At 48.4% G+C, this 24,194-nt stretch overlaps 2 protein-coding genes and 1 pseudogene across 3 annotated transcripts in view, besides 6 other annotated features; all 3 read left to right on the top strand.

Moving 5' to 3' along the window:
* RANBP2 (RAN binding protein 2) overlaps positions 1-24,194 on the top strand; it is a 1,122,820-nt gene that overhangs the window by 529,384 nt on the left and 569,242 nt on the right. The gene's annotated exons all lie outside the window — the stretch shown is intronic.
* SH3RF3 (SH3 domain containing ring finger 3) overlaps positions 1-24,194 on the top strand; it is a 375,430-nt gene that overhangs the window by 119,661 nt on the left and 231,575 nt on the right. The window lies entirely within an intron of this gene.
* Positions 2,469-2,974, top strand: SNRPGP9 (small nuclear ribonucleoprotein polypeptide G pseudogene 9; annotated as a pseudogene).
* Positions 4,019-4,098: an enhancer, noted in NCBI's record as "active region_16359". NCBI's record gives its function as "activates an Ori minimal core promoter by ATAC-STARR-seq in GM12878 lymphoblastoid cells {active_cell/tissue: GM12878}" and the evidence as "EXISTENCE:reporter gene assay evidence [ECO:0000049][PMID:35858748]".
* Positions 4,209-4,338: an enhancer, noted in NCBI's record as "active region_16360". NCBI's record gives its function as "activates an Ori minimal core promoter by ATAC-STARR-seq in GM12878 lymphoblastoid cells {active_cell/tissue: GM12878}" and the evidence as "EXISTENCE:reporter gene assay evidence [ECO:0000049][PMID:35858748]".
* Positions 5,634-5,923: an enhancer, noted in NCBI's record as "active region_16361". NCBI's record gives its function as "activates an Ori minimal core promoter by ATAC-STARR-seq in GM12878 lymphoblastoid cells {active_cell/tissue: GM12878}" and the evidence as "EXISTENCE:reporter gene assay evidence [ECO:0000049][PMID:35858748]".
* Positions 11,130-11,631: an enhancer, noted in NCBI's record as "H3K27ac hESC enhancer chr2:109876451-109876952 (GRCh37/hg19 assembly coordinates)". NCBI's record gives its function as "activates a minimal SCP1, AML or CMV promoter by ChIP-STARR-seq in naive H9 embryonic stem cells {active_cell/tissue: H9 hESC(naive)}" and the evidence as "EXISTENCE:reporter gene assay evidence [ECO:0000049][PMID:30033119]".
* Positions 11,632-12,131: an enhancer, noted in NCBI's record as "H3K27ac hESC enhancer chr2:109876953-109877452 (GRCh37/hg19 assembly coordinates)". NCBI's record gives its function as "activates a minimal SCP1, AML or CMV promoter by ChIP-STARR-seq in naive H9 embryonic stem cells {active_cell/tissue: H9 hESC(naive)}" and the evidence as "EXISTENCE:reporter gene assay evidence [ECO:0000049][PMID:30033119]".
* Positions 18,148-18,442: an enhancer, noted in NCBI's record as "tiled region #14332; HepG2 Activating non-DNase unmatched - State 8:EnhW, and K562 Activating non-DNase unmatched - State 22:ReprW". NCBI's record gives its function as "activates a minimal TATA promoter and a strong SV40 promoter by Sharpr-MPRA in HepG2 and K562 cells {active_cell/tissue: HepG2 | K562}" and the evidence as "EXISTENCE:reporter gene assay evidence [ECO:0000049][PMID:27701403]".

The following is a 24,194-nucleotide window of genomic DNA, read 5'->3' on the forward strand; positions in this document are numbered from 1 at the left end:
TTTCCTTTCCTTTCCTGTCCTTTCCTGTCCTGTCCTGTCCTGTCCTGTCCTGTCCTGTCCTGTCCTGTCTTGCTCTGTCACCCAGGCTGGGATGCAGCCTCCAACTCCTGGGCCTAAGTGATCCTCCCACCTCAGCCTCCTGAGTAGCTGGGACTATAGGTGCATGCCACCATGCCCAGCTAATTTGTAATTTTGTGTAGAGACCACAGCTCACTATGTTGCCTAGGCTGGTCTTAAACTCCTGGCTTCAAGCAATTTCCCTGTCTTGGCCTCTCAAAAAAGGATTGATTACAGGTGTGGGCCACCACACCTGGCCAAGAACTACACTCGTTAACTTCAGCTAAGCAACTCCCCCCCGACTCCTACCCTGTTCTTTCTTCAGGTTTCTGTTGAAAAGTTATTTGGTAAAAGAAGAGGGCCTGAGCAGTGATTCTTAAGATGGAGGGAAGGAAACCTAACACATAATCTTTGCAAAAAATCCCCGAGCAAGTTGGTATTATTGCCATGACTACATGAGGAAACCAAAGCTCAGAGGATCTGGAGAATTGTTGAGCAAGGAACCCTTCCCTCCTGCACCAGATCTCTCTCTCTTTCTCTCTTTCTCTTTCTTTCTTTCTTTCTTTCTTTCTTTCTTTCTTTCTTTCATTCTTTCTTTTTCTTTCTTTCTTTCCTTCCTTCCTTCCTTCCTTCCTTCCTTCCTTCCTTCCTTCCTTCCTTCCTTTCCTTTCTTTCTTTTTCTTTCTTTCTTTCTCTTTCTTTCTCTCTCTCTTTCTCTGTTTCTCTCTTTCTTTCTTTCTTTCTTGACAGAGTCTTGCTGTGTCATCAAGGCTGGAGTACAGTGGTGCGATCTCAGCTCACTGCAAGCTCCGCAAGCTCCGCCTTCCAGGTTCACGCCATTCTCCTGCCTCAGCCTCCTGAGTAGCTGGGACTACAGGCGCCCGCCACCGCGCCCGGCTAATTTTTTGTTTTATTTATTTATTTTTTAATTTTTTTATTTTTTAGTAGAGACGGGGTTTCACTGTGTTAGCCAGGATGGTCTCGATCTCCTGACCTCATGATCCACCTGCCTTGGCCTCCCAAAGTGCTGGGATTACAGGCGTGAGCCACCGCGCCCGGCCTGCACCAGATCTCTACCAAATTTTAAGTCAGTGAAATATAAATGAAAACTTGTTATTTTTACCATGACTGACATCAGTGTTTTTGAGGGCAAAACAGTAGGTGTTCCTTTTTTTTTTTTTTTGTCTAATTAGAATTCTTGTTTTTATCTGTCCTTAAGGTTTTTCTCTGTCTTTAAGGTTTTTCTCCACTCCTAGGAATGTTCCCTAAGGTTTTGATATAATTCAGGAATTTGTATTTAGGGAAAGGCAACTGAACCAAGTTACGAGAATGTTTAGAACTTTGGAAGCCCTGGGGAAGACATCTCGCCCATTGCTGGTTGGACAGAGCCAACGTGGGGGTTTCTAAACATGCACAAGCTAACAGTCTCCATCAGCTCTGAATTCACTTCTGAGCTTAGCAATGTAAGCTTGTATTATATACAACTTCGTTTCTTCATGAAACAATCATCATAATAAATTTTGATATACTCGGAAAACTTACCAGGTTTAAATATTTATTATTATTATTAAAATAAATGGAATAATAATGGACTGGATTTTAAAGGATCTAGAATTTGACCGTTTTTCTTTTTCAAAACATGATAAATACAGAAAAACCTTTAACAAAATAATAACAGTAATAATAATAATAATAGTGGTATGTTTCCTGGGCTAAATTTAGAAAACTATTGAGTATGAGGCAAATATGGAAAACATATTTATATCAAAGGAGGACCTAGAAGCAAACTACCATAACTTGCCAAATTCAACTTCTATGTTTGTTATAATTTAGTAATTAGCTATTTTAGAAAAAAAAAGTGCTTCAATAGGGAATTAGGATTTTCAGAATTTTGAAGCCCTGGGAAATAATTATATCCAGTGCTGTTTAGGTAGAACAAAAAATCAAATCACTTACCTGGAGTAAATCCAAAAAAGTGAAACCATTTTAAAAATTATCTTTTTAAATTTCTAAATTAACGTTGTTTAGGCATATACATTGCATTCTGTATAGCTTTTTTTTTCAAATTATTAATATTTTTATTTATTTATTTTTTTTGAGATTGAGTCTCACTCTGTCGCCCAGGCTGGAGTGCAGTGGCATGATCTCGGCTCATGGCAACCTCTGCCTCCTAGGTTCAAGTGATTCCCCTGCCTCAGCCTCCCACAGTAGCTGGGATTACAGGCATCTGCCACCATGCCTGGCTAATTTTTTTATTTTTAGTAGAGATGGGGTTTCACCATGTTGGCCAGGCTGGTCTCGAACTCCTTACCTTGGGTTATCCACCCGCCTCAGCCTCCCAAAGTGCTGGGATTAATTACAGGCGTGAGCCACCATGCCCGGCCCAAATTATCTTTAACAAAGAATTAGAGAGATGCAAGACACCCGGCCTGCCGCGGGAGCATGAGGGAGTCTGTGCATTCCTTTCCAAGGCATCTGTGAGTGCATGGAGTAGACACCATGAGCAAAGCTCACCCTCCCGAGTTGAAAAAATCTATGGACAAGAAGTTGTCATTGAAATTAAATGGTGGCAGACATGTCCAAGGAATATTGTGGTCATTTGGTCCCTTTATGAATCTTGTGATAGATGAATGTGTGGAGATGGCGACTGGTGGGCAACAGAACAATATTGGAATGGTGGTAATAGGAAATAGTATCATCATGTTAGAAGCCTTGGAACGAGTATAAATAATGGCTGTTCAGCAGAGAAACCCATGTCCTCTCTTCATAGGTTCTATTTTACTATGATGTAAAAATTAGGTCGTGTACATTTTCATATTAGACTTTTTGTTAAATAAACTTTTGTAATAGTCAAAAAAAGAATTAGATAATACTAAAAAATACCAAATATTTAATATTTTTAATACCAATTTTCTAATCCCTTTAAAGTACATAATGAGTTTTAAGAGGATGGGTTCCAGGGTTCTAGACTTTGAGTTCTCAACCTTATGTTCTTAAATCGGCAAAAGTACCCCCCAAATAAAACAAGATAAAACTTTTACTGAACACAATGGCTCACGACTATAATCCCACCACTTTGGGAGGCCAAGGTAGGAGGATGGATCACTTGAGCTAAGGAGTTAGAGATCAGCCTGGGCAACATATAGAGATGCCATCTCTACAAAAAATACAAATAGCTGAGTGGGGTGTCACAGGCCTATAGTCTCAGCTACTCAGGAGGCTGAGGTTGGAGGATGGATTGCTTAAGCCTGGGAGGCAGAGGTTGCAGTGAACCAAGATTGCACCACTGCGCTCCAGCCCAGGTGACACAGTGAGACCCTGTCTCAGAGGAGAAAAAAAAAAAAAACTTTCAACATTATAATTTAAAAAGATGTTTTAGGCTTAATTTAGAAAGTTTACATTGTTCAACAGAAGCCGGGTTTATTTTTAGAGGAATAGTTGGATGCAAACTCTCAAAATTTTCTGAACTTAATGTTTACTTCTGAAACTGCTTCCTCAGGCTTGTTTTATAAGCTTTGTCTTTTTACAGGCCTTCAGTTTTAGCTTTATCATGGGTTGATCAGCCGTCCTGGTGTTCCTGGGACTGAGGAGTTTCTTGGGATGTGGGACTCTCAGTGCTAAAACCAGGGATATTTCAGGCAAACTAGAATGACAGAATGAGTTAAGATGGATTATGTCCTGATAAACCCATCAATAGTTGGAAGTATCATAAGTTGAAAACGCATGTAATACACCAAACCTACAGAACCTCATAGCTCAGCCTAGCCTACTTTAAATGTACTCAGAACAATATACATTAGGCTGGCTAATGTAATCAGCCTACAGTTGGGCTGAATCATGTAACACAAAGCCTGTTGTATAATAAAGTGTTGAATATCTGTGTCATTTACCTAATACTGTCTTGAAAGTGAAAAACACTGGTTATATAGGTATGTGAAGTACAGTTTGGGTATTGTATTGTACCATCATAAAGTAGAAAAATCCTAAGTCAGCCCATCGTAAGTAGGGGACTGACTGTAGTCAATCACCCTATTCTTCTTGAACCTCAAAAAGCAAAATCCATCAGTTTAAATGTAGACCCACATGTGTAGCCTTTACTTTTTTTTTCTTTTTTTTTATTTAAGAGCTAGAGTCTTGCTCTGTTGCCCAGGCTGGAGTGCAGTGGTGCGATCTCAGGTCACTGCAACCTCCACCTCACGAGTTCAAGTGATTCTCCTGCCTCAGCCTTCTGAGTAGCTGGGATTACAGCTACGTGCCACCATGCCTGGCTAGTTTTTGTATTTTTAGTAGAGATGGGGTTTCACAAGGCTGGTCTTGAACTCCTGACCTGAAGTGATCCGCCTGCCTCAGCCTCCCAAAGTGCTGGGATTGCAGGCATGAGCCACTGCGCCCGGCCTAGCCTTTAAATTTGATTAAGGTGCTTTGATTAGTTTATTTCCTTGGGAGGCAGAAGTGTTTACAAAGAAGAGGCCCCAGGATAGGCTGTGTCCATGTGGTTTCAGGACGTGGGCGCTGCTTTCCGGGTGGGCTGGTGAGGGCATTTTTTGCTGCCCAGCTCTCATGTTTCCCAGGCTTGCTATTTGTTTTCTAATCCAGGCAACAGAAATACCACTTGTGTCCATGATTTTCATGCTGGATCTAAGATGTTGAGGCAGCAAATTCTTATTCTGACTAATTTAACAGTCTTTCGGTTTAGCCTGTGCTTGGGGCTGTGCTTAGAATTTTGATAAAAATGGTTGTATCTGGGTCATTTGGAAAGGAATTTGGCTGTCTGGAAAATAGAACATATAATAGAACAGGTGGTTATTAAAGCACCAGGCCAAGTGGAGACCATGATTTCTCTTTGATTTAGATGCAAAGATTGCTATATAGGTTGACACACAAAGATTTATAATTTGTAATTTAAGAAAATAATTGTTCAGGGAGCAGAAACCAGAAAGTAATGTATGAGTATTTTTTCTTGAACTGCATTTTCTTCTTTCTAAAAGCATGGAAGTCTTTAATTCCCCTTCCACAGCTCTTAAGGCTGTCAAATGTATTGGGAATGGGGCCTGGCCCCTGAGATGTGTAGGTTATACATCATACAACTCAGGGGCCAGGCACCATTCACATCACATTTATCCTAGATTTGTCTTGAAGGGGTGCTTTTTCTGACCCACATGAGAATTTCCCTGGGCTAGTGGCAGCCAGCATGACTGCCTCACCAACCCCTCTAGCAAGGACTCTTAGAGGAAAACATGAAGAAAATCACATTTTTCTTCTGTTAGCATTTTATAGACTTCTTCACTCCACTCCAGACCTTTGGATGTCTGACCTGAGGACAATCAATATGTTTTTCTAGAGTTTTTAGCACGCAGCAGCATAGTGGCTTAGAGTGCAGACCAAGGAGTCAGTGCCATAATTTTCTACCTGTATAATCCTGTGCAAGTTGGCCTCTCTGTGCCTCAGTTTCCCCATCTGTAAAATGGGGGCAGCACATTCCTCATTGGACTGTTGGGGAGGTTAAATGGATTAATGCTGTAAAGTACTTAGAATAGGGCCTGACACATTGCATGTAAATGTTACCAGCCTCGTTCAGCTTTGCCTCTGACACTGAGCTGATGTACCTGGGTCTGGCAATACAACATTGTAGATGCTGATTAAAACTTGAGGCACATGTGAAGAAACCATGACTATTCCCATGACCCCGTGAGAAGGTTGGTCAAATAGTTTCTTTGTCTTCTGCTGGGTTTCACTTCCTGCTGTCTCAGCTGTACCCCCTAATGTTGGTGTGTGGTTGTCTCTTTCTGTGCCAGCCGCTCCCATGAGAGGAGCCTCTCATTGCCGGGACTTTAGTGGCTCGGGACAGTGCCCCATGAGCGCTCCAGTTAAGCCAACAGATGGGTACTTCTAGGCTGGAGGCACTGCCTCGCCAGGGCAGTATCTGCTCTCTGTGGATGTCCGAATTCTCACGGGTGGGCTCAGCGAGACAGTACGCTCCATGTGACCCACTCTGGTCTCAAAAGCTAGAAAAATGCTCTGGAAGGATATTGAACACCTATGTGGGGCTCTGTGGTTCAGGTTAGGTTACTCCATTAGATCATTTGTATCTGGAAAGAACAGGGATGGCTCCAACACTGTACAAGCCTGCAGTCCTCCTAAGGCTAAAAGACACAAGGTGGTACCCGTGTCATGGTGGTGGGAGGTTAAAGATTAGTGTTTGTGTGTGTGTGTCTGTGTGTGTACATGTGCACGTGTGCAACTCTTGCTTTGTGTGTGTGGCATTTCACTTTCCTAATCAATTTAGGCAACCTGTTGGGGCTTCGGAATAGTGCATCTAGGTTGGAAGTATCTCCCAGTGAATGGGTCACACTGTCACACTGGGCTTCCAGCAGACCCCATACCACCCACCGGTGAAACTTGAGTAAAGCTACTCTAAGAATACAGAGCATTGGAGAAGTGCTTTATTCGGTTAACTTTACCACCACCAGGGAATGTCTGGGTTGTTCTCAATGATCAGTATGAAGGTCTGTGGGGTTGTGGACACATTCAGGGTTGGACTGGGGTTCGTATTAGTCAGCCGACTGGGTATCTTTATTCACAGAAGAGGCAAAATTAGCAAATAACCCCATCAAAATCATCTTGATAGTTGTTCTCACCAAGGTTGCTATCACCTCTATAATTATGAAAATGTTTTATGAGGTAGGCTTGGGAATTTGAACACCTTTTGAGAACTGTTGGGAACAACCTTCTCAGTTAAGTAAAGAAACTACTTACCAGAAAACATGTGGAGGACACTGGGGTGATAATTCATGGTCATTTCCGATAAGCTACTTCTAGGGCCAGAATCTCTGCTGAATCTCAGCTTCCTGATTTAATGAAGACAAGGAAATGAAACCGCCCTGCCGACTGTTTGTGCTTTTAATAGGCCGAGTTTTCAGAAAGAGAAGACAGTTAAATTAGTTTTCCTTTTTGCCCTTTTCATTCTCCCTGCTTCTGTCCTGCAGATCAAGGCCTTTGAAAGGAAGGGGAAGAGGAAGTGTTTTCTTGCTTAGTGAATAGGATGCACCTGTCCCCTGAGGAAGATTCCCTGTGTGTGCTTGTATGTAAATGTACATACTCTCTTACTGTCCTCTTTTTCCTCCTCACAAATGTAAGCCTGTATGTGCTTCATATTAATACTTGGCATTCCCATGAGCCTGCAAAGTCTGGAGGGAGAGGCCAGGCCCGTGCTTCTGGCCGCTGTGACCCAGCACCTGGCGGAGGCCCTCACTGAGTCCTGTCCCCTGAGTGGAGGTGAAAGGTAGACAAGGAAGACCCCACAGTTGGAGAGCCTGCCATGGACAGGTCGCGCATTGTTTCACTTGGGCCTGGTTGAGCGTATTACTGGGAGTGGGGGAAGTTGACGCTGTGACGTAGTCCTGGGGCGAGCTTGGAAGGTGCTCTGGGCTTGTCAGTTGACAGTGTGTCATTAGGGATATGAGCGGCAATGCGATGTCCTCCCCTGCAAGGAAGGAGATGTTTCAGACTTACCATTGACTGAAACAGGGAGACGAGTGCTCTCTCATGGAAACAGGGGAGATTTGAGATCAGTCACAAACACTTACCAAGGCCCAGGTTCAGTCCACTCCTGGAGCTTTGAGGGGCTAGTGTGTAAAGGGCACAGAAGCCCTTTTGCTAGGTGCACTGGCCTGAGAGCTTCGAGGGGATTTGCCAATGGGATTGTGCCACAATTTTTATTACTTTTTCCCTAGTCTTCGTGGTCTAAGTTTTGTTTTCTCAATCTTTCTTTTCTCATCTTCCTTGTGTGGAGTTAACTTTTAATCAGGGAAAGGGAATACATCGAGCTATTGATGAATGAATCACTGGAGAAAACAGTGAAGTGGGATTTTTATTTCAGGGTCTCTTAGGTGGCAGTGCCGGGTGACAGGTGGGGGTGTCCCTTGTCTTCCATTGTCCCGGAGACTAACCATCAGCCTCTACCTAATTGAATGGCATTTTTATGTGTTTTTCATGAACGGTGGTGGATGGAGATGTGTGGAGGACTAGCAGCTCTTCATGCTGGAGGGAGTTATTCCGCCTCTGCTCTCAGACAGCCTGTGACCAGGCACGGGTCACATTGCTGCCCTGGACTTGCACTGTATGGCATTTGAATGTCATGTAGGGGCACCGTGTATTTCAGTGGCTGTGTCTAGGCAGCCCGAAAGCCACTGAATCCCTCATGTCCACTCTGCAGCCGACATTCACTCAGCATCCTGGAAAAGTGCCCACTGGGGCAGGAGCTTCTCTTGCTCATGTGGACATGACGGTAAGTCCTTCTTGGAGAGGCAGCATCAAGTCATGTTGTTCGTTCTGTGGCCAGGAGGTACAAAGTCAGCTGTTTCTGCTTTTAAGTGATGTGGGCTTAAGGAAGAGGGAAGGAGGAATGAAGGAAAGAAAGGAATTGAGGAGGGAATGAAAGAAGGAGAGGGAGGGAGGGAGAGGAAGGGAAGGAGGGAGAGGAAGGGAAGGAGGGAAGGAAGGGAGGAAGGGACGGAGGGAGGGAGGAAGAAGCCCCATGGCTTTCTTGTAAATAGCAGCTGCCCTGAAGTCTGTGAAGGGCACACCAAGAGTCTGGCTGGGAGGTTGTCAGCTAGGAAACTGTGGCCCAAGTTCGTGGTGAGTGAGGAGTTACTTTCTTCCCTTGACCACTGGAGCAGGATAGACTCTGCCTGCCACCCATCCCATGAAGAAGACTTTCCTTCTGAGTGCCTTGGTTTGCGCTTCAGGGAAGCCACTGACACGTTCATTACCTGTTTCCTGAAGTAGACAGTTAGAGCTCCCTGTCTCAGTGTCCAAAAAAACCAAGGGGCCCCAAGTGCAGAAACAAGGGCTGAAAATGTATGTTTTACGGACAGGAGACAGCCAGCCTGTTTAAGTGGAGGCTTTTTTGGAAACCCCACTTTCCCAGTGAGTCACAGTAAACACAGACAGAGCACACTGCTTCTCTGACACCAGGGCCAGGGCTGTCCTGGGCTCAGAATGAATTAGACCAGCTTGCCTTTTGTGTTCACCATTCTAGCATTTCTTTCCCTGCTTGATTGTCACCACATGTGCACACACATACCCACATACCTGTGCACACATGTACACTTTCTTATTTGCTGACCCTCACAGCCCTGCCATCCCTGGGCTACCAGGCAGACTTTCTGATCTGGAGCTTAACCGGCCCAGACATTGGAAACACCAAGCAACTGGTAGCTGGTAAGACTTTTACCCCATCAACGAGGCTTACGAAAGAGTAAACTTACCTTAATAATGCCTAGTGGCCAGGTTTCCAGGAGTGGGGGACAGCCTGGCGCTGTTTGTAGGGGCTGAAGGGAATGTTTACTGAGGGGATCCTGATGCAGTGGCCGCTGTGACAGCCAGTCAGGAGGTCTTGTCCCCATTCTAAAGAGCGAGAAACTGCAGAGTTGAGAGGACCACAAACCCTAGTGCAGCCGGGTTTTCTGCAGGGGTCTCTACAGCTCAGAGCCTCTAGGCTTTGTCACCTCCTGGGTATTGGAGGCTTCCTCGGGCCCTCAGCACAGCCCACACCTACCAGGGCCAATCCAATCATGTAGGCTGGCCAGGGCGGTGAGCCTCCGAACAATGTATGGGTGGTGCCACCAATCCTTGTCCTCACTAGGAATCCAGTCAGTCATCCCGCAATTCCCCAGGCCGGGCCACAGCTGGCTGTGCTCCTAACATCCCTGCACTGACCAGCAGGTCACCGGTACCTCTAGGAGCCTGACTGTGTGGCAGCCGTGTCTGAGTGATGACTGCCAGAAAGTTCTGGTTTGTTATTCAGACATATAATACGTGCTGCTTTGAAGACAGTGGCCTGCACTGCTGTTGTCCTTCCTAATAGGGGTAGGGTCTTGCCAGGTCAGAGCAGGACCCATCCAGGGGCAGTGACCTGTGCTGATGTCCTTGGCTGTGCTGGATTTGACGAGAACACTCTGTGGTCAGGGGTTTTGCCTTTCAGCTCGAGCTGCAGAGAGACCCTCTCTGTCCTGCTGCTTCCCCAGATTCTGCCCACGGGGCATCCGCATGCCCTCTCTAGCTGGGTGAACTATGTGGGGTCAGCTCACTGTGTAGGCTGCCTCGGGAAGGAGGGAGAGCCTTGTGCTGCCAGGGCCCTAGTTTCCATTTGGCTTCATCAGAGAGTTTCTGACACATACCTACTGCCAGATCACATGTAATAGCTGCAACATGCCACGCGGCTTGTGGCTGAAGTTACTTACAAAAGCCGGGTTGAGGAATCCATAAAGTGTAGGCTTCTCTGGCCTTCATGGGTCGGATTAAAGGGTGTCCTGGCCCTGAGGAGCACCCAGACCTGCAGCTGCTGCTGGCTCCTGAACAACTGGCTCTGAGTGTGCAGAGGCCTGGCTCTGACAGTTGAGCCTACCTGAAGCCCTCTGAGACCACCATCCAGAGCCGGAGGCATCCTACATACCTGCATGCAAGGGGAGGCTGGGCCTCCAGGTCTACTCTGTTGTGATTTCTGCTGGGTTGTGTGACGGTGGTGCATTGGCTATTGTGGGCCTGTTGGTGGACTAGAGTCCTTGATTTTCCTTCTGTGCAAAGTCAGGACTCTCCGGGGCCCTTCATGCCTTAACATCCCAAGAGGCTTGTTTTGTTATTTTCTTCCACAATGCCCTGGAGTTACCATGTTTGGGCGGCATGTTATTTATGGAGAAGTTGGTGACAGGGAGACCCTGATGTAACTTGAATTGTGATAATGTCTATACTTGCTCTCACGGCCTACGGAAGAAGAATTTGTTTTTCTTGATTTGGTTCTTTTCACTTCTTTTTCTTCATGGAGGCTTCACGTAGGTGCATGTGGAGGGAGCTTTATTCAGACAAGTTTCCTTGACATCTCTGGGAGGTCTCTGTTTGTCTGGCTCTGAGAGCATCTGGTGTTTGGACAGCCTCTGGGCCGGGCGCTGTGGGGATGGCTCTGGAAACTGTCAGTCATGTGTGTGCTACACCGTGCACAACAGGGGCTCTGCAGATGATATCCATGTTCTCAGACGCCCAGGGGTTTTCTTTGCTTAGGTTCTCTTTTCTTCTCCGGCCAGAGATATCTTTTCCAAGTAGTAATTGTAATTTTTTTGGTGGAGGGTTATTTGTGATGTTTATCTCAACCCTGGGAATACCTTTTTGAGAGTAGAGAGGCTCTCTGGGATCTTTTCATTTTCTAAATTCTCAGTGTATTTAGGGAATAAATGCATTCCCGAGACTTTCCTGGCGGCTGTTGATAAGCCTGCAGTGCACTACTGATGGTTGGCAGCCCTGTGATTTACCGTCCTCTCCCTAGTGGAAAACCATGCAAACTGACGCCTAAACCCAAGGCGCCATGCACAGTCACTGCTGATCCCAAGTGCTAGGCAAGGCCCAGGTGAGGTGAGTGAGGGAGACCTGTGACCCGAGGTCAGGGAGCTGCATGTGCCCTTCCAGGAACCACCAAAGCAGGAGAGCAGGTGCAGTTGGCTTGGATGGGTTCAGGGCCAGAGAAAGGTGGAGAAAGCATCTGCCTCCCAGTGGCTGTATCTGGGTTTTAATTCCAGTTCCATACTTACCCTCTGTGGAGCTTAGCACTTTCACTTGTAGCGTGGGCACAGGGACACCTTGGTCATAGGCAAGAGGGCTCCCGATCTTGTATGTGGAGTGCCTGATGCAGGATCTGACTGGTGAGGTGGCCCATGGCTGAGAGCTGACAGGCTGTCCAGGGCCAATGGAGGCCCATGGGAGAAGCGGCCTGCAGAGGGTGAAGAGAAGACTTGCAATCTTATGGCCTGATACTGTCCATGGGCAATCCAGGGACAGAAGGCACGGAAACTTCAGGTGACCCTAGCGTGTGTCTGAACCAAGTTCCTAAGTGCATGGTTTCAGGGGAGGGACTTCTTCCTCCCCTACAGAGAGTAATGGAAGGTAAATGGTTGAAGCCAGGCAGGCAGGTGACTTCAGAACCCCATCCTGCCTCTGCTGTGAGAGGAAGGCCACTCTGTTTACAAGCAGTGAGGCTGGACTGTTTGAGGTGTTCTCAGCCCCATGTGCCCTTCTCTGGATGGAGAGCCTTTCCCTCCCTTTAGAGGGCACTGTGTCTGCAGGAAGGAGGTCAGTAGCATGAGCACTTGGCCTGAAGTGTCTTACACGGGTCCATTTCTGCCAAGACGCCCAATGGGGGCCCAACAGCCAGGCCCGTGAGCTAGCCTTCTGTTGTGTGGACACATCAACATTTCTGGCTCTGTCACACAGGTATGGTCAGGGCCCTTTGTAGTTGCATAGGTGTAAAGCGAGGGCCCTGGCTGATGGCTCTTCCTGTCAAGCAGAACAAAGCAATGATGTGGAGGTGATTGTCCCCTCCCCAGGGCTCCAGGAAGCCTTGATCCGCACACTGTGCTGAACAGCACACAGCAAGAGCTCTAGTTAATCATGAGGATTAAATTGTGTTTGTTTTCATTGTAATTACAGCAGAGCAGTAAAATGTGCAGTCTGTGGAGCTGGACAGGCAGAGGTCAAGGATGTTTGCTTCTTGGCTTTGGAGGTGTCAGACGTGTGTGAAATATGCTCAGCCTCCCACCTGTGTGTGCAGCAGCCAGGCACCTCCCATCTCCCAGGGACAAACACAAACAAGTGCATTCGAAGGGAAGGGTGTGCCCAGAAAGAAGTGGCATGGGGCTGCAGGTGGTGTTCAGTGTTCATTGAGACTCTGATGGCTGTGTGCTGGCCAGGCCCCATGACGACAGGTAAAGCTTAGGACTCTTATTGAATTGGGTGTGTATTTAAAATTTGGCTCATTGAGAATCAGTGTAATCGGCAGGCATTTCAAGCCTTTGTCATGGATTTATACAGTGTTTGGGAGGTGGGTCACCCTACTGGTCAGCCTCCCCACCCCTTCACTTATAGTAGGGAAACTGAGGCTTGCCTTTTTTTTTTAAATTTATTAATTGGGCTCTCTGCTGATACGAGACATGTTGATGCATTCAGTGTGGTGTGTATTAAGATCTTTACTGGATGTGTAGCATTCCACTTCATTACATCAGAGGAAGGGCCACAAAGCTCTATAAAACCAGGTCCCCTAAGAGTGGCTAGAGCAGGAGACAGGTCGGTGGCCCGGCTGCTGATGCACCAGCCCCAACGGTGCCAGCAAGCATGAGCAAGCCCACAGGTGCCCTCGGCCTCAGGGCAGGAAAGCCCTGGGAAATGCTTATTATTACAGTGCTGGGGTCTTTCCTGTTATGGTTACAGTTGTATTTGTCTAACAGTCTTATTTAAAGAAGACCAACATCATGATTCTGCATTTAACCATCTGAGGCTTGAAAGCTTGGAGAGAAACCAGTTGTCTAAGTGGTTTGTAAATGGGAGAGATAAATGTCTCGAGTAACCACGGTGGAAAAGCACCAGGAGGGTGGTGCTTTCACTGTACCTGGGGGCAGCCATGCTGATTGCAGGAGCTTTGGGGTTACTGCCTTCAAACTCTGCTTTCGATGCCCTGGGAACCTCTCATGGTGCCTGTGGGGTACCCAAGAGCCCATAGGACAGTGTCCGGAGGCCCCACTCTCTGCAGCCAGGTAAACCTACCCAGGCCCTTTCCTTGCGGCCTCATCCTTCAAAGGTTTTCTTGTTTTATTATTTTACGTAATGTTGTTTCTTTTAAAGAAGCTGAGAAATGAAAGAGCAATTGTATGTCTACAACTTTTGTGATATTAACCTTATTTTGAATTTCTGGTTTACCCCATTTGTGTTGGTGCATTCAAGTTATTATCAGGAGATAATTCTTTATCCGCAAATAGCTTTGTTCTCACTTACCTCCTTGGTTCCATTATTGGAAAATATATTACATTTATATATGTAATGGGCCCAATGATAAAATTATATTTTTATTTTCATACAAGACTTTCTTTTTTCTTTTTTATTTTTTTGAGACAGAGTCTTCCTCTGTTGTCCAGGCTGGAGTGCAGTGGCATGATCTTGGCTCACTGCAACCTTTGCCTCCCGGGTTCCAGCAACTCTTCTGTCTCAGCCTCCCACGTAGCTGGGAGTACAGGTGCCCGCCACCACACCTGGCTCGTTTTTTGTATTTTTTTTTGTATTTTTGGTAGAGACAGGGTTTCACCATATTGGCCAGGCTGGTCTCGAACTCCTGACCTTAGGTAATTCACCCACCTCGGCCTCCCAAAGGGCTGGGATTATAGGCGTGAGCCACCACGCCCAGCCGCAATCACTTTGTTAAATGAGTTAAGAACGGCAGAGACATGTGCATTCATACTATCTTTTATAATGACCCGGCTGTCTTTACTAGTGCTCTTTGTCATTTTATGTTGGTTTAAATTATTATCTGTGGTCACTTGATTTTAGCCTAAAAAAGCTTTCGTTGCTATTTTCTATAAGGTGGGTAGATCAACTAGCATCAGATTTTCTCAGTTTTTGTATATCTGGAATGTGTTTATTTTGTCTTTATTTTTTATAGGTAGCTTTTCTGGTTGTAAAATTCTTGATTGACAGCCTTCAATCAAATAAGTAATGAAATAGTAGCTAGAATATGGAGACTTTAAAATGTCCTCTGTGGATTAGGGGGCTGATGCATACATAGAAAGATTGATTCTCTCAGTTTTATTCCTGGGGAGCCAGGTAGAGAATTTGCTTTTAGGAGGTGGATTTTCATTCCTTGAGCAAAGCTAATAGATGAACTTAGCTCATTCTGCCAGGACAGTCTGTCAGTGGAGAGACTGTACTATTAATAGAAAGGAATGTGAGGCCGGGTGCGGTGGCTCACGCCTGTAATCCCAGCACTTTGGGAGGCCGAGGTGGGCAGATCATGAGGTCAGGAGATTGAGATAGACCTGGCTAACACTGTGAAATGCCGTCTCTACTAAAAAAATACAAAAAATTAGCTGGGCATGGTGGCGGGAGCCTGTAGTCCCCAGCTGCTCGGGAGGCTGAGGCAGGAGAATGGTGTGAACCCAGGAGACGGAGCTTGCAGTGAGCCAAGATCGTGCCACTGCACTCCAGCCTGGGCAACAGAACGAGTCTCCATCTCAAAAAGAAAGAAAGGAATGAGAGCTGGACAAGTCATTCCCTGGTCAGGACACTCCAGAAGCCCTACATGGTTTGCAAAACCATCTGGGCTGTTCCAGCTCCTCCCTGTCTTTAAGCTACAGATCTCAGTCTGTGGGTGCTACCTGTCCACCTCCCCAGGATCCACCTCGAGTCTGTGGGTGCCCCCCATCCACCTCCCCAGGATCCACCCCAAGTCTGTGTGTGCTCCCCGTTCACCTCCCCAGGATCCACTCCGAGTCTGTGGGTGCTCCCTGTCCACCTCCCCAGGATCCACCTCGAGTCTGTGGGTGCCCCCATCCACCTCCACAGGATCCACCCCAAGTCTGTGTGTGCTCCCCGTTCACCTCCCCAGGATCCACTCCGAGTCTGTGGGTGCTCCCCGTCCACCTCCCCAGGATCCACCTCGAGTCTGTGGGTGCCCCCCATCCACCTCCCCACGATCCACCCCAAGTCTGTGTGTGCTCCCCATCTACCTCCCTATATGTCCTGCTGGGCTTCTTACCCTTAGAGGTGCTCGATAGATAGAAGATGGCAAAGTGAATCAAGTCTCAGGGCCAAAGCCAGGCTTTTTGTAAGATCTCAAGGCACGATTTAAAACCATGTGCATGAGCTGACAGTTGGATGTCAGGAGGTCAGGAGTCTAGGTGGTGGTGAATTTTACAACAGAGATGATAACAGCCCCTCCCACTGAGCCCAGTGGATGCTAGATGTTTCCGTAAGGGCTTTCTGTGTATCCTTAGCCAGTGCCCTTCCCAGGCCCACTGGGCGGGCATCTCATTCTTCTGAGGGCCGTGGAGTCTGGCCATCACCTACCGTGCATGCCGCACCCTCCTGAGGCTTTCTGGAGTGTGCTATTTTCCACTTCCTGTTGGACAGACATCTTAAACATCCTTATGTTTCCCAGACATCTCAGTCTGCCTTCCTAGCATAATTCTTCTTGTAAGAAATGTAGGATTTTGTGGGTGGCAGGGGGACTAGGGAACATGCATCAGAGATAGCCGCATGCTCTGTCTTAGAGGCATCATCAGCCTGGGGAACCTGGCCAGCTCTTGTGGACCGCAGTCTAATTGGCCTGCTCCCTGCAGAGTGAGTGGGCTGCTTAGACTTTGCCCACTTGAGGCGTTGCGAAATAGGATGGTGTGTGTTTTATTTTTTTTTCCTTGTTATTTAAGAAGGAACATTGAAGAGAGCCAGGAGGGTTCCTAGTGGAAAGGAAGGCAGGGAGAACAGCTGCACATTAGGATTAAAGGGCCAAGGCAGGACAAGGCCAGGGGAGCTCTGAGGGCAGCTCGTGGGCTGTGTTCGCCAACTGCTGGAGATGGGTGAGATGCGGAAAACAAGCAAAATACTGCAAAATGGAAGAAAAATTGACCTTTCCTGTTATCCATTCTCCTCACAGTTTATCAGATGGTGGAAGGAAACACTGTAATTCTAGAAATAAGCCCCACCCTGACAGTGAGCCCCCACCTCCCAGCGTGGAAATAACCCATTCAGGGCAGTGGCACCCTGCTGCCCACCCTTAGGCTGCTATAGGCCAGTATAGGCTGGGGTCCCTGCAAGCCCAGGTCTCCTTCAGGGCAGGTGTGGCTCTTCCTCTCCCAGATGACTCAGAAAGCCCCCCAGGGGCCTGCATGGGTCCTGCCAGGTGGCCAACGCTGAAACAGAATGTGTCTTTGATTTGGGTTGAATTTATAGCCACAGGTCATCTGATTATAGTCAGAAACTCTGAAGGGAAGTTGCAGGGTTTTTATCAATAAAAAATGTTTAATTTAAAAAAAGAGATTGGCACATAAAAGCTTTTAATATGCAGGGTTGCAAGGGCAGAGAGAAATAATGAGAGGTCCTGGGTGGGTCAAGGGGGTGGACACCACTGAGCTGGGGCATTGAGACCCTGCCAGCACCAGCTGTGCCCAGTCTGAAGTTTCAGAGATTGAAGGAAACTTGAAATTACCCACCGAGCCCTGGAGAAATCCTTGGGAGCCCAGACATTTGCTTATGTGCGCATGTGTGTCATGTGCATGTGTGTGTATTGTGTATATATGTGTATTCGGTGTGTTGTATGTGCATGTGTGCTGTGTGTGTTGTGTATGGTATGTGTGTTGTGCGTGCATGTGTGTGTTGTGTGTATGTGTATTCAGTGTGTTGTAGGTGCATGTGTGCTGTGTGTGTTGTGTATGGTGTGTGTTGTGCGTGCATGTGTGTGTTGTGTGTTGTGTGCATATGTATGTTGTGTGTATGTGTATTCAGTGTGTTGTGTGTGCTGTGTGTGTTGTGCGTGCATGTGTTATTTGCATGTTTGTGTTGTGTGTATGTGTTGTGTGTGTGTTGTATGGTGTGTGTGTTGTGTGTGTATGTATGTATACACAGGATCCACTCTGCATCTGACAAGAGGCTGCCCCAAGCAGGAGTGTCCTCCGATACAACAAGACTCGCAGGAACAAGTCTGAGGACTTGACAAGGGACACCTATGTTTGGGAGTGGTCCCAGAACGGTATCCTTAATCTGCCCCTTCACTGCCTTCAACTCTCATTGTTCTCCTCAATACAGTGAAGTCCTTAAACCACTGGTGACACCAGGGACGTTTTGTGCCTGATGCCCGTCACCGAGACCTTGGAGTGCAGAGCAGGGCTCCCCTCAGGGCTTAGCTCAGCAGAGTCCTCAGCACAAAGGGCAGCTCAGGAGCCAGTGCTCAGCCACAGATTGGGAAGGCTTCTAAGCCGTAGTCAGTGGGCAGTGACACGGCCCACGCTTGCTTCATTAACAGCCTAACAAGAGACAGGGGTGAGCGTGTGCCCACTCGCACATGCATGAGAGAGCCAGGGAGGGAGTCACCTCATGTTATTTAATCACCCTCCAAATATTCAGAGCTGGAGACCACTGCTGCAGACCGCCTCCCACTAAGGACAAGCTGATGTATGTCCCTGAGCAGGAGAGGATGTCTGTGAGCTGGCTTATTTACAAATACGTGTAAGTGGCAGTTCTTAATTTGCAAATCTGTGTCTTTATAAGACTTGAAGAACAAACAATAATACCTGCAGACAGAGGTGGATAAAAGCATTGCTCAGTACTGAGATACATTATCAGTGAAGGCACCCTGAATGCCTCTGGTCTCTGATGGGTATCGCTCAGTAATCAGCCAGGGAGGTGGTCAAACAGGATGGGAGTTGCTTCCGATCGGTGATTTCCCCATGTGTGCTTAGGTTTCGTCATATTTTTTAGGAATCTCCCTTCCTCTGAATAGGAAGTGCATGTAAAGGCACACAATGGAACCAGACATAGCTTCCTGTTAGGTCTGTGGGAGGTCATGGCTGGTGAAAGGGCAGGATCCAAACACAAGCATACCAGGGGAAGAAAACCCAAAAAGACCCCAAAGGTGATCACTGTGCGCTTTGTACAAGTGCTGAGCTTGCCCGAAGAAAGAAAGAGACGCAAAAGAGAAGCAGCACTGAGGAAGCCTGGCTCCCGGGCTGCTTTTCATAAAGACAGAGTCAGTGTTGCTGAGACACAGGTGGAAAGTCTTTGTGCTTGCTTCTTTGATCAGCCCCACTCCCTTCCAACAGAGCCTATCAAGTTTGCTTCCTAATGAGGGCCCCCGAGTGCCGGCTGTGATGGGTGGACCAGGCTGAGGGAGGGCCGGGAGCCAGGGGAGCCACTCCCAGCTGCCACCCCTGAGGTCTGGGAGGCAGGAGCCCCACCCGTGATCCCCTTTCCCTTCTTTTACTCTCCCTTCCCTGTTTCTCAGTGCATGTCAGGGAAGCATCAGACAGAACACAGTTCTGCGTCTGTCCCTGGAGCGAGGCCGAGTCAAGCCCTGTTGGGGAGGGAGAGGCCCTGTGGTCGGGCAATGGGGCCAGGCTCCTGCTGGACAGAGGTTGCTTGGGAGGCCACTGAGGGGAGAAAGGAGCTGCTGCAGCACAGCCACACTCCTGGGCCCCTGGACAGGACAGGATGGGAGAGGACAGAGCACCCCAGCTCTCAGCCCTGCTGCAGTTGTGCGGGTGAAACGGACATCCCCACTAAGGGTCCTTGGACTCTGTGTCCAGTCCTTGTGGGTGAGGGGGTCTTCCAGACTGTCCCCTAATCCCACCTGGAGCCCAGAGAAGGGGCCGATGGGGAGGAAGGGGCTGGGTGGCTCCACTCACCTCCTTTGGTCGTCACTTTTGCTGATGTTTGTGATGTTAAAAGAGATGGAGGGGATGGGCAGGCTAGAATAGGTTTATCTTCCCCAGTGGTTTCTGTGTGGAATGGAAAACCCTGAGCCCTGCCTGCTGAAGTGAGGTGCGGCCCCTTCTCTGGGCTCCAGGTGGGATTGGGGGACAGTCTGGAAGACCCCCTCACCCACAAGGACTGGACACAGAGTCCAAGGACCCTTAGTGGGGATGTCCGTTTCACCCGCACAACTGCAGCAGGGCTGAGAGCTGGGGTGCTCTGTCCTCTCCCATCCTGTCCTGTCCAGGGGCCCAGGAGTGTGGCTGCAGCAGCTCCTTTCTCCCCTCAGTGGCCTCCCAAGCAACCTCTGTCCAGCAGGAGCCTGGCCCCATTGCCCGACCACAGGGCCTCTCCCTCCCCAACAGGGCTTGACTGGGCCTCGCTCCAGGGAGAGGTCCCCCACTGAACAATTTTTAACTTCAAGATGGTGCAGAAGCGATACACATTCAGTAGAATCTTTACTTTGAGTTCCTACACAATCACTCTATTTTTCACTTTCAGGGCAGTGTTCAATAAACTGCATAAGTTATTTAATACTTTATTATAAAAAAAAAAAGGCTTTGAGTCTGATGATGTCGCCTACTATAGGCTAATGTGCGTGTTCTGAGCATGTTTAAGGTGAGCCAGGCTATGCTATGAGGTTTGCCAGGTTGGGTGTATTCAATGAATTTCAGACCTAATGATATTTTCAATTTATGTTGGGTTTATCAAAATGTAACCCCATTATAAGTCAGGAAGCATCTGTATCTTTTTCCGTTTTCTGGGGGACACAAATGTCTGAGGAGGACCTTCTGAGCCCTAAGACATGCCCAGGTGATGAGGCTTGAGGACAGCTCCTCCCAGGCACAGCCCTTTCTCTTGTCCCGCACTGTGCTCTGTCCATGGAGCCACGAGGCACAAGGGCCGCACGTGGATTTTGTGCTGAGTGGCATTGGAAGCGTGGGCATCATAGGCAGTTTCCCTGGGGGAGAGGGACCACAGGCTGAGATTCCTCTCCAACCTTCGCCCTGGGAGCAGCTACTGTGATAGAGCCAGATTCCCAAGTTCTCATTCATGGTATTTTGAAATGACATAAAGGGACTGCCACCAAACAAGGCAGGATAGCAGCAGCCAAGATGGGAAAACCTTGCCTTCCCCCCGGGAGAACAGAGGGAGCCTCCCCACACACCGTGTAATTTCCAGAAAACACTGGTGCTTCTCCATGGCTCTGCTGGCCGACCACATCCTCCTAACCCTTTAAGAATCCAGCCCCCCTTTCTTCTGACTTTAAGCACCAGGTAGTGCTTAAAAGATAGTTGCCAAGCCAGGCGTGGTGGCTCATGCCTGTAATCCCAGCACTTTGGGAGGCCAAGTCTGGTGGATCACTTGAGCCCAAGAGTTGGAGACTAGCCTGGCCAACACGGTGAAACCCCATCTCTACTAAAAATAAAAAAAATAGCCGGACATGGTGGCGTGTGCCTAGTCCCAGCTACTCAGGAGGCTGAGGCACGAGATTTGTTTGAACCAAGGAGGTGGAGGTTGCAGTGAGGTGAGATCGTGCCACTGCACTCCAGCCTGGGTGACAGAGCAGCCGGGAGGGGTGAGGGGAACTGAAGATAGTTACCAAGATACTTGTGCATTTTAGGAATTGGGACCAAGACTCCAGAATGTTCGTGTGCTCAGGCATTTGTTCATTACATCATCCTCAGTCCCAGTGTCCCCTCATCCCCTCCCAGGAAAGCAAAACGTAACTACTACTAATAAGCTGGTTGTACAGAGAATTCCTAGCTGTACAGAAATTAATGAAGCCCTAGGAAAGAGAATGTGATGAAATACTTAATAGATTGCGATTGAAGCCACTGTCTGAAGCTGAAGGAAGCAGGATGCCGTGAGCTTGGCTGCCGTGGGGCAGGGGCACCAGTCCCTCTTCTCTACCCAACCACCCTCCTCCCAGCAGTCTCAGCCCCCACCTGGGGGTGTTGGAGGAGTGTTTGGATTGATGATCAGCAAATTGGGGCAGCATGTGGCCTGTCACAAGGAAGATCTGGGGGGTGAGGATGCTGGTTAGGCTGGAACACCTGAAGCGTAACCTTAAGGCGAGTCTGTGGTTGCCTGAGGTGGCAAGCAGCCCTGTTGGAGTGCCGGGCATGGGGAGGATTGCCATTCAGAGTCAGAAAGCTGCCTAGCGGGATAGGCAGGCTCATAGAGTGGCTGTGATTCCTGCTGTAGGACTGGCTGAGGGTGCCTGCAGCTGCCACAGGGAAGGAAACATTTCTTCTTGTTTCCACTGCCTGAGCTGGGGCTCTGAGCCACTGGACTTAATGTGGACAGGAGGGTGAGTAGAACCCATCCATTCCTCTGTGATCAGCGGTGACAGCCCGGGGCAGTGTGGCCGTTTCAGGTCAAAGCGGACTTCATCCCAGGAGGCCACGGGTGCAGGGCATGACCCAGAGATACTGGGTGCTAAGCAGAGGTATGACATAGGTGTCTTGGCCCCGTATCTGGGCCACGCAGGTGGTGTCTGGAGCATCCTTTGGAGACCGTTCCTGGACTGTTACTCCTCTTATGTAGATTGACCTTTCTCTAGCTGGGGATGTTGGGCCAGGCATACCTGCCCATGGAAAACCAAAACTGTTACAGACAGAAGTCACAGTGACAGAGCGTTGGTAGGATGGAGTGGCCAGGGAACCTGTGAGAGGAGCCTGTACCGACACTGCCTGCCTCACACAGCATCAGGAGGGAGACACCAGCGGGGCCCTCCATGGCTAAGTGGGTTCTGCTTCTGAATTGCAATTTCTTTTATATGTTTATTCCATTTTCTGGGTCACCCCTCATTGAACATTTACTATGTGCCTGGTGATGTCCTGAGTATACATTAGTCTAAGGCGGAGTCAGTGTTGATCCATTCCACCCCAGCTCAAGCACCCAGCCAGCGAACGGGGCGAAGTGCAGGCAGAGAGCCAGAAGCAGTGAGGGTGTGTGCTTGGCTTCCTGGAGTATTTGCTAATGAGCAAAACAAGGTTTGCCGGCTTGAAATGGAAAAGCAACAGGGAACCAGGAATGAATTGCTCCAGAAAAGCCCTGGCCCTGCACCCAGGAGTCTCCTACCTTGTTTGGTGTGAAATCTGTAAACATCTCCTTCCTCAGAGACACAGCTCCTCCCAGGAGGAACCTAGAGGGATGTGCAAAGAAAATCTCAACCCAAAAGCTCAAAACTGTAGAGTAAAAACATTTCACATTTGGCTTTTGGAGTAAGAGTTTTTCAACAATGGATACAGACCATATTGCTGTTCACTTTCCCGTAAATCAACGTGAGACTTTGCTGTCAGCCAACATGACAGCAGTGAACAGAGCCCAGGGAACCCCTCAAACTCAAGATAGTCAAGTTGTAACTATGGCATCCCAGCCAGGACCTTCTGGAGTGGGGACCAACAATGGGGTGAGGCCCCGTGTGGTTCCCAGGATGCCAGAAGCCCCATATCCAGATACGTGGTGGGTGCTGCATTGTCATTTAGGACGAAGGGCCCCCCTCTGCCAATTCACTGCCTGTTTGCACAGAAAGTCGTGTGTCCTCAGTATTGGACTTTTGTGGTATCAGTATTGAGGCCCACAATGTATCTGACTATCTTTAAAATGCTGTACAAATCTGAATTGAATATAAGTATCCTATAACTGGAGTATTGAATGCGGCTAGAATCATCCCAAGGCAGAATTGAGATTCTAACCGCTACGCACACACACTCACAGCCCTGGATCCTCCTTTGTGTGTGTTCTTTCAACATGGTGATGGATAATTTTCAGAATGGGGTCTTTGGGTACATCTGGTATGGGTGAACCATATCTTGACACTGAGTGACATTGGGGTGCTGCCCTGTCCCATCCCTGTGTCATGGCCGGGCCTCCTGCCCCCACCACTCAGGGCAGCCCGTCTGCCTCTGGCCAGCTGTCGGAGCTGGACTTATCCCTCCCTGGTCTGAGGAATAAGATGTACCCTTGGGTCAGAACCCCCCACAGCCCTCTGCAATGACTGTCTGACAGCCTTTTTCCTAGTAAGCTGCTTCTTGCTTGTCTAGGTGAAATCTCTAGCAATTGCCCAACCAAAAACTGGGTCTTGGAGCTGATGGCTACACATCCCCTGAGGGTACCTCTGAAAAGCAAGACCTTTTGAAGGATGGAACCCTGAAGAGCTGGTGCAGAAGCAGGACTGTGCAGGCACCATGAGGGCAAGCACGAAGCCAGCTGTCTGCACAGACCCACCAGCATCCCGCAGCTCCACACTGCTTTCCTGGTGTGTGGGACGCAGGGAGCCCCCTTCGCCTCTAACTGTGTGCTGCACTCACAGGGGCCGAGTAGGGTGTGTTTCTTTTGGTGATGATGTCTACTTGGGCTGAAGGCTCAGAGCGCTCGTTCCTTTGGAGACCCTGCTGCAGGCGAGTGGTGAGCACATGCTTCCGCACAGACACAGCTGCCAACGGTCCTCCTCCACACCAGCGCTGAGTTGTCATGGAGACAATACAGGCTGGGCTGTGTGTGGTCAGCAGAGGGGCACTGGCCCAGCTGGGTGGGTATGTGAGAGGATTTATGAACCAGCATCAATGCATCTCAGTTAAACAGCCCCCGGTACTGCCGCACACGCAGGACGTCAGGCTTGGTGTGTGTGGGTTCCCGGACTGGTGTTCTGTCGGCAAACGTTCTCTAACATCCCTGACCCGGTTCCCTTGTCATGCCAAGACAGTTTCCTAGCAGCCTTAATCATGAAAGGAATCACAAAGGACCCGTATTTTTTCCCTATTAAGCTACTGGAAGAAATTAAAACAGGGAAAGAAAATGGTTACCTTTAAAAAGTTGGTTTTAATTTTACCAGTGGGAGAAAGACCAGTAGT

Source organism: Homo sapiens, chromosome 2 (genome assembly GCF_000001405.40).
Source record: "Homo sapiens chromosome 2, GRCh38.p14 Primary Assembly".
Classification (NCBI taxonomy): Eukaryota; Metazoa; Chordata; class Mammalia; order Primates; family Hominidae; genus Homo; species Homo sapiens.